The 16336-nt window shown below is 36.5% G+C and overlaps 19 annotated features.

Moving 5' to 3' along the window:
* Nucleotides 380–1330: an enhancer, noted in NCBI's record as "OCT4-NANOG-H3K27ac-H3K4me1 hESC enhancer chr10:42396507-42397457 (GRCh37/hg19 assembly coordinates)". NCBI's record gives its function as "activates a minimal SCP1, AML or CMV promoter by ChIP-STARR-seq in naive and primed H9 embryonic stem cells {active_cell/tissue: H9 hESC(naive and primed)}" and the evidence as "EXISTENCE:reporter gene assay evidence [ECO:0000049][PMID:30033119]".
* Nucleotides 1331–2282: an enhancer, noted in NCBI's record as "OCT4-NANOG-H3K27ac-H3K4me1 hESC enhancer chr10:42395555-42396506 (GRCh37/hg19 assembly coordinates)". NCBI's record gives its function as "activates a minimal SCP1, AML or CMV promoter by ChIP-STARR-seq in naive and primed H9 embryonic stem cells {active_cell/tissue: H9 hESC(naive and primed)}" and the evidence as "EXISTENCE:reporter gene assay evidence [ECO:0000049][PMID:30033119]".
* Nucleotides 2283–3234: an enhancer, noted in NCBI's record as "OCT4-NANOG-H3K27ac-H3K4me1 hESC enhancer chr10:42394603-42395554 (GRCh37/hg19 assembly coordinates)". NCBI's record gives its function as "activates a minimal SCP1, AML or CMV promoter by ChIP-STARR-seq in naive and primed H9 embryonic stem cells {active_cell/tissue: H9 hESC(naive and primed)}" and the evidence as "EXISTENCE:reporter gene assay evidence [ECO:0000049][PMID:30033119]".
* Nucleotides 3235–4187: an enhancer, noted in NCBI's record as "OCT4-NANOG-H3K27ac-H3K4me1 hESC enhancer chr10:42393650-42394602 (GRCh37/hg19 assembly coordinates)". NCBI's record gives its function as "activates a minimal SCP1, AML or CMV promoter by ChIP-STARR-seq in naive and primed H9 embryonic stem cells {active_cell/tissue: H9 hESC(naive and primed)}" and the evidence as "EXISTENCE:reporter gene assay evidence [ECO:0000049][PMID:30033119]".
* Nucleotides 4188–5138: an enhancer, noted in NCBI's record as "OCT4-NANOG-H3K27ac-H3K4me1 hESC enhancer chr10:42392699-42393649 (GRCh37/hg19 assembly coordinates)". NCBI's record gives its function as "activates a minimal SCP1, AML or CMV promoter by ChIP-STARR-seq in naive and primed H9 embryonic stem cells {active_cell/tissue: H9 hESC(naive and primed)}" and the evidence as "EXISTENCE:reporter gene assay evidence [ECO:0000049][PMID:30033119]".
* Nucleotides 5139–6091: an enhancer, noted in NCBI's record as "OCT4-NANOG-H3K27ac-H3K4me1 hESC enhancer chr10:42391746-42392698 (GRCh37/hg19 assembly coordinates)". NCBI's record gives its function as "activates a minimal SCP1, AML or CMV promoter by ChIP-STARR-seq in naive and primed H9 embryonic stem cells {active_cell/tissue: H9 hESC(naive and primed)}" and the evidence as "EXISTENCE:reporter gene assay evidence [ECO:0000049][PMID:30033119]".
* Nucleotides 6092–7043: an enhancer, noted in NCBI's record as "OCT4-NANOG-H3K27ac-H3K4me1 hESC enhancer chr10:42390794-42391745 (GRCh37/hg19 assembly coordinates)". NCBI's record gives its function as "activates a minimal SCP1, AML or CMV promoter by ChIP-STARR-seq in naive and primed H9 embryonic stem cells {active_cell/tissue: H9 hESC(naive and primed)}" and the evidence as "EXISTENCE:reporter gene assay evidence [ECO:0000049][PMID:30033119]".
* Nucleotides 7044–7996: an enhancer, noted in NCBI's record as "OCT4-NANOG-H3K27ac-H3K4me1 hESC enhancer chr10:42389841-42390793 (GRCh37/hg19 assembly coordinates)". NCBI's record gives its function as "activates a minimal SCP1, AML or CMV promoter by ChIP-STARR-seq in naive and primed H9 embryonic stem cells {active_cell/tissue: H9 hESC(naive and primed)}" and the evidence as "EXISTENCE:reporter gene assay evidence [ECO:0000049][PMID:30033119]".
* Nucleotides 7997–8948: an enhancer, noted in NCBI's record as "OCT4-NANOG-H3K27ac-H3K4me1 hESC enhancer chr10:42388889-42389840 (GRCh37/hg19 assembly coordinates)". NCBI's record gives its function as "activates a minimal SCP1, AML or CMV promoter by ChIP-STARR-seq in naive and primed H9 embryonic stem cells {active_cell/tissue: H9 hESC(naive and primed)}" and the evidence as "EXISTENCE:reporter gene assay evidence [ECO:0000049][PMID:30033119]".
* Nucleotides 8949–9900: an enhancer, noted in NCBI's record as "OCT4-NANOG-H3K27ac-H3K4me1 hESC enhancer chr10:42387937-42388888 (GRCh37/hg19 assembly coordinates)". NCBI's record gives its function as "activates a minimal SCP1, AML or CMV promoter by ChIP-STARR-seq in naive and primed H9 embryonic stem cells {active_cell/tissue: H9 hESC(naive and primed)}" and the evidence as "EXISTENCE:reporter gene assay evidence [ECO:0000049][PMID:30033119]".
* Nucleotides 9901–10852: an enhancer, noted in NCBI's record as "OCT4-NANOG-H3K27ac-H3K4me1 hESC enhancer chr10:42386985-42387936 (GRCh37/hg19 assembly coordinates)". NCBI's record gives its function as "activates a minimal SCP1, AML or CMV promoter by ChIP-STARR-seq in naive and primed H9 embryonic stem cells {active_cell/tissue: H9 hESC(naive and primed)}" and the evidence as "EXISTENCE:reporter gene assay evidence [ECO:0000049][PMID:30033119]".
* Nucleotides 10853–11804: an enhancer, noted in NCBI's record as "OCT4-NANOG-H3K27ac-H3K4me1 hESC enhancer chr10:42386033-42386984 (GRCh37/hg19 assembly coordinates)". NCBI's record gives its function as "activates a minimal SCP1, AML or CMV promoter by ChIP-STARR-seq in naive and primed H9 embryonic stem cells {active_cell/tissue: H9 hESC(naive and primed)}" and the evidence as "EXISTENCE:reporter gene assay evidence [ECO:0000049][PMID:30033119]".
* Nucleotides 11805–12756: an enhancer, noted in NCBI's record as "OCT4-NANOG-H3K27ac-H3K4me1 hESC enhancer chr10:42385081-42386032 (GRCh37/hg19 assembly coordinates)". NCBI's record gives its function as "activates a minimal SCP1, AML or CMV promoter by ChIP-STARR-seq in naive and primed H9 embryonic stem cells {active_cell/tissue: H9 hESC(naive and primed)}" and the evidence as "EXISTENCE:reporter gene assay evidence [ECO:0000049][PMID:30033119]".
* Nucleotides 11805–13708: a biological region, named in NCBI's record as "OCT4-NANOG-H3K27ac-H3K4me1 hESC enhancers GRCh37_chr10:42385081-42386032 and GRCh37_chr10:42384129-42385080".
* Nucleotides 12136–12881: a silencer, noted in NCBI's record as "fragment chr10:42384956-42385701 (GRCh37/hg19 assembly coordinates)". NCBI's record gives its function as "represses an EF-1alpha promoter that drives an FKBP-Casp9 reporter gene in an ReSE screen in HepG2 liver carcinoma cells {active_cell/tissue: HepG2}" and the evidence as "EXISTENCE:reporter gene assay evidence [ECO:0000049][PMID:32094911]".
* Nucleotides 12757–13708: an enhancer, noted in NCBI's record as "OCT4-NANOG-H3K27ac-H3K4me1 hESC enhancer chr10:42384129-42385080 (GRCh37/hg19 assembly coordinates)". NCBI's record gives its function as "activates a minimal SCP1, AML or CMV promoter by ChIP-STARR-seq in naive and primed H9 embryonic stem cells {active_cell/tissue: H9 hESC(naive and primed)}" and the evidence as "EXISTENCE:reporter gene assay evidence [ECO:0000049][PMID:30033119]".
* Nucleotides 13709–14660: an enhancer, noted in NCBI's record as "OCT4-NANOG-H3K27ac-H3K4me1 hESC enhancer chr10:42383177-42384128 (GRCh37/hg19 assembly coordinates)". NCBI's record gives its function as "activates a minimal SCP1, AML or CMV promoter by ChIP-STARR-seq in naive and primed H9 embryonic stem cells {active_cell/tissue: H9 hESC(naive and primed)}" and the evidence as "EXISTENCE:reporter gene assay evidence [ECO:0000049][PMID:30033119]".
* Nucleotides 14661–15613: an enhancer, noted in NCBI's record as "OCT4-NANOG-H3K27ac-H3K4me1 hESC enhancer chr10:42382224-42383176 (GRCh37/hg19 assembly coordinates)". NCBI's record gives its function as "activates a minimal SCP1, AML or CMV promoter by ChIP-STARR-seq in naive H9 embryonic stem cells {active_cell/tissue: H9 hESC(naive)}" and the evidence as "EXISTENCE:reporter gene assay evidence [ECO:0000049][PMID:30033119]".
* Nucleotides 15737–16335: an enhancer, noted in NCBI's record as "OCT4-NANOG hESC enhancer chr10:42381502-42382100 (GRCh37/hg19 assembly coordinates)". NCBI's record gives its function as "activates a minimal SCP1, AML or CMV promoter by ChIP-STARR-seq in naive and primed H9 embryonic stem cells {active_cell/tissue: H9 hESC(naive and primed)}" and the evidence as "EXISTENCE:reporter gene assay evidence [ECO:0000049][PMID:30033119]".

Below are 16336 nucleotides of genomic sequence, written 5' to 3' on the forward strand. Positions count from 1 at the left end.
AGGTCCAAATATCCACTTGCAGACTTTACAAACAGAGTGTTTTGAAATTGCTCTATGATCAAACCGGTTACTGAGGTTTGTGAATTCATCATGTAGTTCTCGTGTCATGGTTTTCAGCTGCATCAGGTCCTTTAAGGAATTCTCTGCATTCATTATTCTAGTTAGCCATTCATCTAATTTTTTGTCAAGGTTTTTAACTTCTTTGCCATGTGTGCGAACTTCCTCCTTTAGCTCGGATAAGTTTGATCATCGGAACACTTCTTCCCTCCACTCATCAAAGTCATTCTCCATCTAGCTTTGTTCCATTGCTGGTGTGAAGCTGCATTCCTTTGGAAGAGGAGAGGCACAATCAAGCAAGAACAACACAGAAGAAAAGAGAGAAGAATCAAATAGATGCAATTAAAAATGATAAAGGGGATATCACCACCAATCCCACAGAAATACAAACTACCATCAGAGAATACTAAAAACACCTCTGTGCAAATAAACCAGAAAATCTAGAAGGAATGGATAAATTCCTCAACACATACTCCTTCCCAAGTTGTTCCATTCGATTCTATTCGGTGATTCCATTCGATTCCATTTGATAATGATTCCATTCAAGACCATTCAATGATTCCATTCAATTCCATTCAATAATGATTCCATTTGAGTCCATTCAACGATTCCATTCAAGTCCATTCGATGATTCCATCTGATTCCATACAATGAATACATTCGATTCCATTCTATGATGATTCCATTTATTTCCATCTGATGATGATTCCACTCGATTCCATTCAATGATTCCATTGGATTCCATTTGATCATGATTTCAATCAATTTCATTCGATGGTTCGATTCGAATCCATTCGATGATGAGTCCATCCATTTCAATTTCATGATAATTCCATTCGTTTCAATTTGATGGTGTTTCCATTCGATTCCATTCGATGTTGATTCCATTAGCTTCCTTTGGATGATGATTCCATTCGAGTCCATTCGATGATGATCACATTGGATTTCATTCCATAATTCTACTCGATTCCATTTGATGATGATTCCATCTGATTCCATTTGATGATTCCATTTGATTCCATTAGATGATGATTCCATTCGTTTCCATCCGATGATGATTCCATTTGATTCCGTTCAATGATTATTCCATTTGAGTCCATTCGATGATTCCATTCGATTCCATTTGATGATGATTGCATTCGAGTCCATGGATTATTCCATTCCATTCCATTAGATGGTTCCATTCGAGTCCATTCGATGATTCTCTTCGATTGCATTTGATAATTCCATTTGATTCCGTTTGACGTTGATTCCATTTGAGTCCATTCAATGATAATTCCATTCGATTCTATGCGATGATTCCATTCCTTTCCATTTGAAGGTGATTCCATTCGAGACCATTCGATGATTGCATTCAATTCATTCGATGACGATTCCATTCAATTCCGTTCAATGATTCTATTAGATTCCATTTAATGATGATTCCATTCGATTCCATTGGTGATGATTCCATGCGATTCCATTAGATGATGACTCCTTTCATTTCCATTCAATTAGGATTCCATTCGGTTCCATATGATGATGATTCCATTGAATTCCATTTGATGACAATTCCATTCAATACCAATTGATTATGGTTATTTTTGATTCCATTTGATGATGATTACATTCGATTCCATTTGATCATGATTCCATTTGATTCCACTCGATGATTCCATTCGATTCCATTCAATGATGATTCCATTCGAGTTCATTGACTATTCCATTCCATTCCATTCGATGATTCCATTTGAGTCCATTCGATGATTCTATTCGATTGCATTCGATAATTCCATTCGATTGCATTTGATAATTCCATTTGATTCCATTTGAGGATAATTCCATTTGAGTCCATTCGATGATTGTTCCATTCGATTCTATTCGGTGATTCCATTCGATTCTATTTGATAATGATTCCATTCGAGACCATGCGATGATTCCATTCAATTCCATTCAATAATGATTCCATTCGAGTCCATTCAATGATTCCATTCAAGTCCATTTGTTGATTCCATCTGATTCCATTCAATGAATCCATTCGATTCCATTCTATGATGGTTCCATTCATTTCTATCTGATGATAATTCCATTCAATTCCATTCAATGATTCCATTCGATTCCATTTGATGATGATTTCAATCAATTTCATTTGATGATTCCATTCGAATCCATTTGATGATGAGTCCATCCATTTCAATTTCATAATTCCATTCGTTTCAATTCGATGGTGTTTCCATTCGATTCCATTCGATGTTAATTCCATTAGTTTCCATTGGATGATGATTCCATTTGAGTCCATTCGATCATGATCACATTGGATTTCATTCCATAATTCTATTCTATTCCATTTCATGATGATTCCATCTGATTCCATTTGATGATTCCATTCGATTCCATTCTATGATGATTCCATTCATTTCCATCTGATGATGATTCCAATTGATTCATTTCAATGATTCCATTCGATTCCATTTGATGATGATTGCAATGAATTTCATTCGATGACACCATTTGAATCCATTCGATGATGAGTCCATCCATTTCAATTTCATGATAATTCCATTCTTTTCAATTCGATGGTGTTTCCATTTGATTGCATTCGATGTTGATTCCTTTAGTTTCCATTGGATCATGATTCCATTCGAGTCCATTCGATGATCATCACATTGGATTTCATTCCATAATTCTAACCGATTCCATTTGATGATGATTCCATCTGATTCCATTTGATGATTCCATTCGATTCCATTCAATGACGATTCCATTCGTTTCCATCCAATGATGATTCCATTCGATTCCTTTCAATGATTATTCCCTTCGAGTCCATTCGATGATTCCATTCGATTCCATTCGAAGATGATTGCATTCGAGTCCATGGATTATTCCATTCCATTCCATTAGATGATTCCATTCGAGTCCATTCGATGATTATCTTCGATTCCATTCAATAATTCAGTTTGATTCCGTTTGATGTTGATTCCATTTTAGTCCATTCGATGATAATTCCATTCGATTCTATGCGATGATTCCATTCCATTCCATTTGAAGATGATTAAATTCGAGACCATTCAGTGATTGCATTCAATTCATTCGATGACGATTCCATTCAATTCCGTTCAAAGATTCCATTAGGTTTCATTTGATGATGATTCCATACGATTCCATTAGATGATGACTCCTTTCATTTCCACTCGATGATGATTCCATTCGTTTCCATTCGACGATGATTCCATTTGATTCCGTTCAATGATTATTCCATTCGAGTCCATTCGATGATTCCATTCGATTCTATTCGATGATGATTGCATTCGGGTCCATGGATTATTCCATTCCATTCCATTAGATGATTCCATTCGTGGCCATTTGATGATTCTCTTCGATTCCATTCGATAATTCCGTTTGACTCCGTTTGATGTTGATTCCATTCGAGTCCATTCAATGATAATTCCATTCGATTCTATGCGATGATTTCATTCCTTTCCATTTGATGATGATTCCATTCGAGACCATTCGATGATTGCATTCAATTCATTCGATGACGATTCCATTCAATTCCATTCAATGATTCCATTAGATTCCATTTGATGATGATTCCATTCGATTCCATTCAATGATGATTCCATTCGAGTTCATTGACTATTCCATTCCATTCCATTCTATGATTCCATTCGAGTCCATTAGATGATTCTATTCGATTGCATTTGATAATTCCATTCGATTGCATTCGATATTTCCATTCGATTCCATTTGAGGATAATTCCATTTGAGTCCATTCAATGATTCTTCCATTCGATTCTATTCGGTGATTCCATTCGATTCCATTTGATGATGATTCCATTAGAGACCATTCCATGATTCCATTCAATTCCATTCAATAAAGATTGCATTCGAGTCCATTCAATGTTTCCATTCAAGTCCATTCAATGATTCCATCTGATTCCATTCAATGAATCCATTCGATTCCATTCTATGATGATTCCATTCATTTCCATCTGATGATGATTCCATTCGATTCCATTCAATGATTCCATTCGATTCCATTTGATGATGATTTCAATCAATTTCATTCGATGATTCCATTCGAATCCTTTCGATGATGAGTCCATCCATTTCAAATTCATGATAATTCCATTCCTTTCAATTCGATGGTGTTTCCATTCGATTCCATTCGATGTTGATTCCATTAGTTTCCATTGGATGATGATTCCGTTCGAGTCCATTCGATGATGATGACATTGGATTTCATTCCATAATTCTACTCGATTCCATTTGATGATGATTCCGTCTGCTTCCATTTGATGATTCCATTCGATGCCATTCGATGATGATTCCATTCGATTCCGTTCAATGATTATTCCACTCGTGTCCATTCGATGATTCCATTCGATTCCATTCGATGATGATTGCATTCGAGTCCATGGAATACTCCATTCCATTCCATTAGATGATTCCATTCGAGTCCATTCGATGATGCTCTTCGATTCCATTCGATAATTCCGTTTGATTCCGTTTGATGTTGATTCAATTCCAGTCCATTCGATGATAATTCCATTCGATTCTATGCGATGATTCCATTCTAATCCATTTGAAGATGATTCCATTCGAGACCATTCGATGATTGCATTCAATACATTCTATGACGATTCCATTCAATTCCGTTCAATGATTCCATTCGATTCCATTTGATGATGATTCCATTCGATTCCATTTGATGAAGATACCATGCGATTCCATTAGATGATGACTCCTTTCATTTCCATTCAATGAGGATTCCATTCGGTTCCATTTGATGATGATTCCTTTGAATTCCATTGGATGACAATTCCATTCAATACCAATTGATTATGGTTATTTTTGATTCCGTTTGATGATGATTATATTCGATTCCATTTGATCATGGTTCCATTCGATTCCACTCAATGATTCCATTCGATTCCATTCAATGATTATTCCATTCGAGTTCATTGACTATTCCATTCCATTCCATTCGACGATTCCAATCGAGTCCTTTCGATGATTCTATTTGATTGCATTCGATAATTCCATTCGATTGCATTCGATAATTCCATTCGATTCCATTTGAGGATAATTCCATTTGAGTCCATTCGATGATTGTTCCATTCGATTCTATTCGGTGATTCCATTCGATTCCATTTGATAAGGATTCCTTTCGAGACCATTCGATGATTCCATTCAATTCCATTCAATAATGATTTCATTCGAGTCCATTCAGTGATTGCATTCAAGTCCTCTTGATGATTCCATCTGATTCCATTCAATGAATCCATTCGATTCCATTCTATGATGATTCCATTCGTTTCCATCTGATGATGATTCCATTCGATTCCATTCAATGATTCCATTCGATTCAATTTGATGATGATTTCAATCAATTTCATTCGATGATTACATTTCGAATCCATTCGATGATGAGTCCATCCATTTCAATTTCATGATAATTCCATTCGTTTCAATTCGATGGTGTTTCCATTCGATTCCATTCGATGTTGATTCCATTAGTTTCCATTGGATGATGATTCCATTCGAGTCCATTCGATGATGATCACATTGGATTTCATTCCATAATTCTACTCAATTCCATTTGATGATGATTCCATCTGATTCCATTTGATGATTCCATTCAATTCCATTCGATGATGATTGCATTCGTTTCCATCCAATGATGATTCCATTCGATTCCGTTGAATGATTGTTCCATTCGAGTCCATTCGATGATTCCATTCGATTCCATTCGATGATGAGAGCATTCGAGTCCATGGATTATTCCATTCCATCCCATTAGATTATTTCATTCGAGTCCATTCGATGATTCTCTTCGATTGCATTTGATAATCCCGTTTGATTCCGTTTGATGTTGATTCCATTTGAGTCCATTTGATGATAATTCCATTCGATTCTATGCGATGATTCCATTCCATTCCATTTGAAGATGATTCCATTCGAGACCATTCAATGATTGCATTAAATTCATTCGATGACGATTCCATTCAATTCCGTTCAATGATTCCATTAGAATCCATTCGATGATGATTCCATTCGATTCCATTTCATGATGATTCCATGCGATTCCATTAGATGATGACTCCTTTCACTTCCATTCGATGATGATTCCATTCGTTTCCATTCGACGATGATTCCATTTGATTCCGTTCAATGATTATTCCATTCGAGTCCATTCGATGATTCCATTCGATTCTATTCGATGATGATTGCATTCGGGACCATGGATTATTCCATTCCATTCCATTAGATGATTCCATTCGTGGCCATTCGATGATTCTCTTCGATTCCATTCGATAATTCCGTTTGATTCCGTTTGATGTTGATTCCATTCGACTCCATTCAATGATAATTCCATTCGATTCTTTGCGATGATTCCATTCCTTTCCATTTGATGATGATTCCATTCGAGACCAATCGATGATTACATTCAATTCATTCGATGACGATTCCATTCAATTCCTTTCAATGATTCCATTAGATTCCATTTGATGATGATTCCATTCAAATCCATTTGATGATGATTCCATGCGATTCCATTATTTGATGACTCCTTTCATTTCCATTCAATGAGGTTTCCATTCGGTTCCATTTGATGATGATTCCTTTGAATTCCATTTGATGACAATTCCATTCAATACCAATTGATGATTGTTATTTTTGATTCCATTTGATGATTACATTCGATTCCATTTAATCGTGATTCCATTCGATTCCACTCGATGATTCCATTCGATTCCATTCAATGATGATTCCATTCGAGTTCATTGACTATTCCATTCCGTTCCATTCGATGATACCATTCGAGTCCATTCGATGATTCTACTCGATTGCATTCGATAATTCCATTCGATTGCATTTGATAATTCCATTTGATTCCAGTTGAGGATAATTCCTTTTGAGTCCATTCGATGATTGTTCCATTCGATTCTATTCGGTGATTCCATTCGATTCCATTGGATAATGATTCCATTCAATACCATTCGATGATTCCATTCTATTCCATTCAATAATGATTCCATTCGAGTCCATTCAATGATTCCATTCAAGTCCATTCGATGATTCCATCTGATTCCATTCAATGAATCCATTCGATTCCATTATATGATGATTCCATTCATTTCCATCTGATGAGGATTCCTTTCGATTCCATTCAATGATTCCATTCGATTCAATTTGATGATGATTTCAATCAATTTCATTCGATGATTCCATTCGAATCCATTCGGTGATGAATCCATCCATTTCAATTTCATGATAATTCCATTCATTTCAATTCGATGGTGTTTCCATTCGATTCCATTCGATGTTGATTCCATTAGTTTCCATTGGATGATGGTTCCATTCGAGTCCATTCAATGATGATCACATTGGATTTCATTCCATAATTCTATTCGATTCCATTTGATGATGATTCCATCTGATTCCATTTGATGATTCCATTCGATTCCATTCGATGATGATTCCATTCGTTTCCATCTGATGATGATTCCATTCGATTCCGTTCAATATTTATTCCATTCGAGTCCATTTGACGATTCCATTTAATTCCATTTGATGATGATTGCATACGAGTCCATCAATTATTCCATTCTATTTCATTAGATGATTCCATTCGAGTCCATTCGATGATTCTCTTCGATTCCATTCGATAACTCCGTTTGATTCCGTTTGATGTTGATTCCATCTGAGTCCTTTCGATGATAATTCCATTCGAATCTATACGATGATTCCTTTCCATTCCATTTGGAGATTATTCCATTCGAGACCATTCGATGATTGCATTCAATCCATTCGATGACGATTCCTTTCAATTCCCTTCAATGATTCCATTAGATTCCATTCGATGATGATTCCATTCGATTCCATTTGATGATGATTCCATGCGATTCCAATAGATGATGACTCCTTTCATTTCCATTCGATGATGTTTCCATTCGTTTCCGTTCGGCGATGATTCCATTCGATCCCGTTCAATGATTATTCCATTCGAGTTCATTTGATGATTCCATTGGGTTCTATTCGATGATGATTGCATTCGTGTCCATGGATAATTCCATTCCATTCCATTAGATGATTCCATTCGTGGCCATTCGATGATGCTCTTCGATTCCATTCGATAATTCCGTTTGATTCCGTTTGATGTTTATTCGATTTGAATCCATTCAATGATAATTCCATTCGATTCTATGCGATGATTCCATTCCTTTCCATTTGAAGATGATTCCATTCCAGACCATTCGATGATTGCATTCAATTCATTCGATGACGATTCCATTCAATTCCGTTCAATGATTCCATTCGATTCCATTTGATGATGATTCCATGCGATTCCATTAGATGATGACTCCTTTCATTTCCATTCAATGAGGATTCCATTCGGTTCCATTTGATGATGATTCCTTTGAATTCCATTTGATGACAATTCCATTCAATACCAATTGACGATGTTTATTTTTGATTCCATTTGATGATGATTACATTCGATTCCATTTGATGATGATTCCATTTGATTCCACTCGATGATTCCATTCTATTCCATTCAATGATGATTCCATTCGAGTTCATTGACTATTCCATTCCATTCCATTCGATGATTCCATTCGAGTCCATTCGATGATTCTATTTGATTGCATTCGATAATTCCATTCGGTCCATTCGATAATTCCATTTGATTCCATTTGAGAATAATTCCATTTGAGTCCATTTGATGATTGTTCCATTCGATTCTATTCGGTGATTCCATTCGATTCCAATTGATAATGATTCCATTCGAGACCATTCGATGATTACTTTCTATTCCATTCAATAATGATTCCATTCGAGTCCATTCAATGATTCCATTCAAGTCCATTCGATGATTCCTTCTGATTCCATTCAATGAATCCATTCGAATCCATTGTTTGATGATTCCATTCATTTCCATCTGAAGATGATTCCATTCGATTCCATTCAATGATTCCATTCGATTCCATTCGATGATGATTCCATTCGTTTCCATCTGATGAAGATTCCATTCGATTCCGTTCAATGTTTACTCCATTTGATTCCATTCGCTGATTCCATTCGATTCCATTTGATGATGATTGCATTCGAGTCCATGGATTATTCCATTCTATTTTATTAGATGATTCCATTCGTGGCCATTTGATGATTCTCTTCGATTCCATTCGATAATTCCGTTTGATTCCGTTTGATGTTCATTCCATTCGTTTCCTTTCAATGATTCCATTCAAGTCCATTCGATGATTCCATCTGATTCCATTCAATGAATCCATTCGATTCCATTCTATGATGATTCCATTCTTTTCCATCTGATGATGATTCCATTCGATTCCATTCAATGATTCCATTCGATTCCATTTGATGATGATTTCAATCAATTTCATTCGATGATTCCATTCGAATCCATTCGATGATGAGTCCATCCATTTCAATTTCATGATAATTCCATTCGTTTCAATTCGATGGTGTTTCCATTCGATTCCATTCGATGTTGATTCCATTAGTTTCCAGTGGATGATGATTCCGTTCGATTCCATTTGATGATGATCACATTGGATTTCATTCCATAATTGTATTTGATTCCATTTGATGATGATTCCATCTGATTCCATTTCATGATTCCATTCGATTCCATTCGATAATGATTCCATTCGTTTCCATCCGATGATGATTCCATTCGATTCCGTTCAATATTTATTCCATTCGAGTCCATTCGACGATTCCATTCGATTCCATTTGAGGATGATTGCATTCTAGTCCATGGATTATTCCATTCTATTTCATTAGATGATTCCATTCGAGTCCATTCGATGATTCTCTTCGATTCCATTCGATAATTCCGTTTGATTCCGTTTGATGTTGATTCCATTTGAGTCCATTCGATGTTAATTCCATTCGATTCTATGCGATGATTCCATTCCATTCATTTTGAAGATGATTCCATTCGAGACCATTCGATGATTGCATTCAATTCATTCGATGATGATTCCATTCAATTCCGTTCAATGATTCCATTAGATTCCATTCGATGATGATTCCATTCGATTCCATTTGATGATGATTCCATGCGATTCCATTGGATGATGACCCCTTTCATTTCCATTCTATGATGATTCCATTTGTTTCCTCCATTCGACGATGATTCCATTCGATTCCGTTCAATGATTATTCCATTCGAGTCCATACGATGATTCCATTCGATTCTATTCGATGATGATTACATTCGTGTCCATGGATTATTTCATTCCATTCCATTAGAGGATTCCATTCGAGGCCATTCGATGATTCTCTTCGATTCCATTCGATAATTCCGTTTGATTCCGTTTGATGTTGATTCCATTCGAGTCCATTCAATGACAATTCCATTCGATTCTATGCGATGATTCCATTCCTTTCCATTTGAAGATGATGCCATTCGAGACCATTCGATGATTGCATTCAATTCATTCGATGACGATTCCATTCAATTCTGTTCAATGATTCCATTAGATTCCATTCGATGATTATTCCATTCGATTCCATTTGATGATGATTCCATGCGATTCCATTAGATGATGATTCCTTTCATTTCCATTCAATGAGGATTCCATTCGGTTCCATTTGATGATGATTCCTTTGAATTCCATTTGATGACAATTCCATTCAATACCAACTGATGATGGTTATTTTTGATTCCATTTGATGATGATTACACTTGATTCCATTTGATCATGATTCTATTCGATTCCACTCGATGATTCCATTCGATTCCATTCAATGATGATTCCATTCGAGTTCATTGACTATTCCATTCCATTCCATTCGATGATTCCATTCGAGTCCATTCGATGATTCTATTTGATGGCATTCTATAATTCCATTCGATTGCATTTGATAAATCCATTCAATTCCATTTGAGGATAATGCCATTTGAGTCCATTCCATGATTGTTCCATTCGATTCCATTCGATAATTATTCCATTCGATTCCATTTGATAATGATTCTATTCGAGACCATTCGATGATTCCATTGAATTCCATTCAATAATGATTCCATTCGAGTCCATTCAATGTTTCCATTCAAGTCCATTCGATGATTCTATGTGATTCCATTCAATGAATCCATTCGATTCCATTCAATGATGATTGCATTCATTTCCATATGATGATGATTCCATTCGATTCCATTCAATGATTCCATTCGATTCCATTAGATGATGATTTCAATCAATTTCATTCGATGATTCCATTCGAATCCATTCGATGATGAGTCCTTCCTTTTCAATTTCATGATAATTCCATTCGTTTCAATTCGATGGTGTTTCCATTCGATTCCATTCGATGTTGATTCCATTAGTTTCCATTGGATGATGATTCCATTCAAGTCCGTTCGATGATGATCACATTGGGTTTCATTCCATAATTCTATTCGATTCCATTTGATGATGATTCCATCTGATTCCATTTGATGATTCCATTCCATTCAATTCGATGATGATTCCATTCGTTTCCATCCGGTGAAGACTGCATTGGATTCCGTTCAATGTTTATTCCTTTCGAGTCCATTCGACGATTCCATTCGATTCCATTCGATGATGATTCCATGCGATTCCATTTGATGATGATTCCATGCGATTCCATTAGATGATGACTCCTTTCATTTGCATTCGATGATGATTCCATTTGTTTCCGTTCGACGATGATTCCATTCGATTCCGTTCAATGATTATTCCATTCGAGTCCATTCGATGATTCCATTCGATTCTATTCGATGATGATTGCATTCGAGTCCATGGATTATTCCATTCCATTCCATTAGATGATTCCATTCGTGGCCATTCGATGATTCTTTCCGATTCCATTCGATAATTCCGTTTGATTAAGTTTGATGTTGATTCCATTCGGTCCATTCAATCATAATTCCATTCGATTCTATGCGATGATTCCATTCCTTTCCATTTGTAGATGATTCCATTCGGGACCATTCGATGATTGCATTCAATTCATTAGATGACGGTTCCATTCAATTCCGTTCAATGATACCATTAGATTTGATTTGATGATGATTCCATTTAATGATGATTCCATTCGATTCCATTTGATGATGATTCCATGCGATTCCATTAGATGATGACTCCTTTCATTTCCATTCAATGAGGATTCCATTCGGTTCCATTTGATGATGATTCCTTTGAATTCCATTTGATGACAATTCCATTCAATACCAATTGATGATGGTTATTTTTGATTCCATTTGATGATGATTACATTCGATGCCATTTGATTGTGATTCCATTCGATTCCACTCGATGATTCCATTCTATTCCATTCAATGATGATTCCATTCGAGTTCATTGACTATTCCATTCCATTCCACTCGATGATTCCATTCGAGTCCACTCGATGATTCTATTCGATTGCATTCGATAATTCTATTCGATTGCATTAGATAATTCCCTTCGATTCCATTTGAGGATAATTCCATTTGAGTCCATTCGATGATTGTTCCATTCGATTCTATTCGGTGATTCCATTCGATTCCATTTGATAATGATTCCATTCGAGACCATTCGATGATTCCATTCAATTCCATTCAATAATGATTCCTTTCGAGTCCATTCAATGATTCCATTCAAGTCCATTCGATGATCCCATCTGATTCCATTCAATGAATCCATTCGATTCCATTCAGTGATGATTCCATTCATTTCCATCTGATGATGATTCCATTCGATTCCATTCAATGATGCCATTCGATTCCATTTGATGATGATTTCAATCAATTTCATTCGATGATTCCATTCGAATCCATTCGATGATGAGTCCATCCATTTCAATTTCATGATAATTCCATTCGTTTCAATTCGATGGTGTTTCCATTCGATTCCATACGATTTTGATTCCATTAGCTTCCATTGGATGATGATTCCGCTCGAGTCCATTCGATGATGATCATATTGGATTTCATTCCATAGTTCTATTCGATTTCATTTGATGATGATTCCATCTGATTCCATTTGATGATTCCATTCGATTCCATTCGATGATGATTCCATTCGTTTCCATCCGATGATGATTCCATTCGATTCCGTTCAATGTTTATTCCATTCGAGTTCATTCGCCGATTCCACTCTATTCCATTTGATGATGATTGCATTCGAGTCCATGGATTATTCCATTCTATTTCATTAGATGATTCCATTCGAGTCCATTCGATGATTCTCTTCGATTCCATTTGATAATTCCGTTTGATTCCGTTTGATGTTGATTCCATTTGAGTCCATTCGATGATAATTCCATTCGATTCTATGCGATGATTCCATTCCATGCCATTTGAAGATGATTCCATTCGACACCATTCGATGATTGCATTCAATTCATTCGATGACGATTCCATTCAATTCCGTTCAACGATTCCATTAGATTCCATTTGATGATGATTCCATGCGATTCCGTTTGATGATGATTCCATGCGATTCCATTAGATGATGACTCCTTTCATTTCCATTCGATGATGATTCCATTCGTTTCCATTCGACGATGATTCCATTCGATTCCGTTTGATTATTCCATTCGAGTACATTCGATGATTCCATTCGATTCTATTTGATGATGATTGCATTCGGGTCAAGGGATTATTCCATTCCACTCCATTAGATGATTCCATTCGTGGCCATTCGATGATTCTCTCCGATTCCATTCAATAATTCCGTTTGATTCCGTTTGATGTTGATTCCATTCGGTCCATTCAATGATAATTCCATTTGATTCCATGCGATGATTCCATTCCTTTCCATTTGAAGATGATTCCATTCGAGACCATTCAATGATTGCATTCAATTCATTCGATGACGGTTCCATTCAATTCCTTTCAATGATGCCATTAGATTCGATTTGATGATGAGTCCATTCGATGATGATTCCATTCGATTCCATTAGATGATGATTCCATGTGATTCCATTAGATGATGACTCCTTTCATTTCCATTCAACGAGGATTCCATTCGGTTCCATTTGATGTTGATTCCTTTGAATTCCATTTGATGACAATTCCATTCAATACCAATTGATGATGGTTATTTTGATTCCATTTGATGATGATTACATTCGATTCCATTTGATCGTGATTCCATTCGATTCCACTCAATGATTCCATTCGATTCCATTCAATGATGATTCCATTCGAGTTCATTGACTATTCCATTCCATTCCATTCGATGATTCCACTCGAGTCCATTCGATGATTCTATTCGATTGCATTCGATAATTCCATTCTATTCCATTTGAGGATAATTCCATTTGGGTCCATTCGATGATTGTTCCATTCGATTCTATTCGGTGATTCCATTCGGTTCCATTTGATAATAATTCCATTCGAGACCATTGGAAGATTCCATTCAATTCCATTCAATAATGATTCCATTCGAGTCCATTTAATGATTCCATTAAAGTCCATTCGATGATTCCATCTGATTCCATTCAATGAATCCATTCGATTCCATTCTATGATGATTCCATTCATTTCCATCTGATGATGATTCCATTCGAATCCATTCGCTGATGAGTCCATCCATGGAATGGTATGGAGTGGAAAGGAATGGAATGGAAAGTAAAGGAATGGAATGCAATGGAATGCAATGGTATGGAATGGAGTCAAACCGAGTGGAATGGAATGGAATGGAATGGAATAAATGGAATGGAATGGAATGAAATGGAATGGAGTGGAATGTAATAAACACCAGTGGAATGTAATGGAAAGGAATGGAGTGGAATGGAATGGAATGGAATGGAATGGAATGGAATGGAATGGACAGGAATGGAATGGAATGGAATGGAATGGACTAGAATGGAATGGAATGGAATTAAATCAACCCAATTGGAATGGAATGGAATGCAATGGAATGGAATGGAATCAACTGGAAAGGAACGAAATGGAATGGAATGGAATGGAATGAAATGGAATGGAATGGAATGGAAAGGAATGGAATCAACCCGAGTGGAATGCAATGGAATGGAATGGAATGGAATGGAATCAACCTGAGTTGAACGGATTGGAATGGAGTGGAATGGAATGGAACGGCATGGAATGCAATGCAATCAACTAGAATGGAATGGAATGCAATGGAATGGAATAGAAAGGAATGGAATGGAATCGAATAGAATCAACCTGAGTGCAATGGAATGGAATGGAATGGAATGAATGGAATGGAATGGAATGGATACTAATACAATGGAATGGAAAGGAAACAACCCCAGTGGAAGGGAATGCAATGGAATGCAGTGGAGTGGAATGGAATGGAATGGAATGGAATAGAATGGAATCAACCCGAGTGGAATGCAATGGAATGGAATGGAATGGTATGGAAAGGAATGGAATCAACCCGAGTGGTATGTATTGGAATGGAGTGGAATGGAATGGAATGGCATGGAATGCAATGGAATCAACTAGAATGGAATGGTATGGAATGGATTGGAATGGAATCGTACGGAATCAACCTGAGTGGAAAGGAATGGAATGGAATGGAATTAAATGAATGGAATGGAATGGAATGGAAACAAATGGAATGGAATGGAAAGGAAGCAACCAGAGTGAAATGGAATGCAAAGGAATGCAATGTTATGGAAAGAAATGGAATGGAATTCAATGTAATGGAAACAAACCGAGTGGAATGTAATGGAATGGAAAGGAATGGAATGTAATGGAATGTATTGGAATCAACCCGATTCCAATGCAACGGCATGGAATGGAATGGAATGGAATGGAAGGGAACAGAATGGAAGGGAAAGTAATGGAATGAACTGGAATGTAATGGAATGGAATGGAATTTAATGGAAAGGAATGGAATGGAATGGAATCAACCCGAGTGGAGTGGAATGGAATTGAATGGAAATGAATGGAATAGAATGGAATGGAATGAAAACGAATGGAATGGAATGAACCCGAGTGGAATGGAATGGAATGGAATGGAATGGAAAGGCACGGAATGGAATGGAATGAAATGGAATGGAATGGAATGGAAAGGAATCAACCCGAGTGGAATGGAATGGAATGGAAACAAACTGAGTGGAATGGAATGGAATGGAATGCAGTGGAATGGAATGGGGTGAAAGGCATTAGAATCAACTGGAATGGAATGGAATGGAATGGATTATAATGGAATGGAATGGAATCAATCTGGGTGGTATGGAATGTAATGGAATGGATTGGAATGGAATGGAATGGAATTCAATGTAATGGAAACAAACCGAGTGGAATGTAATACAATGGAAAGGACTGGAATGTAATGGAATGGAT

This window comes from Homo sapiens, chromosome 10 (assembly GCF_000001405.40).
Source record: "Homo sapiens chromosome 10, GRCh38.p14 Primary Assembly".
NCBI classification, from domain to species: domain Eukaryota; kingdom Metazoa; phylum Chordata; class Mammalia; order Primates; family Hominidae; genus Homo; species Homo sapiens.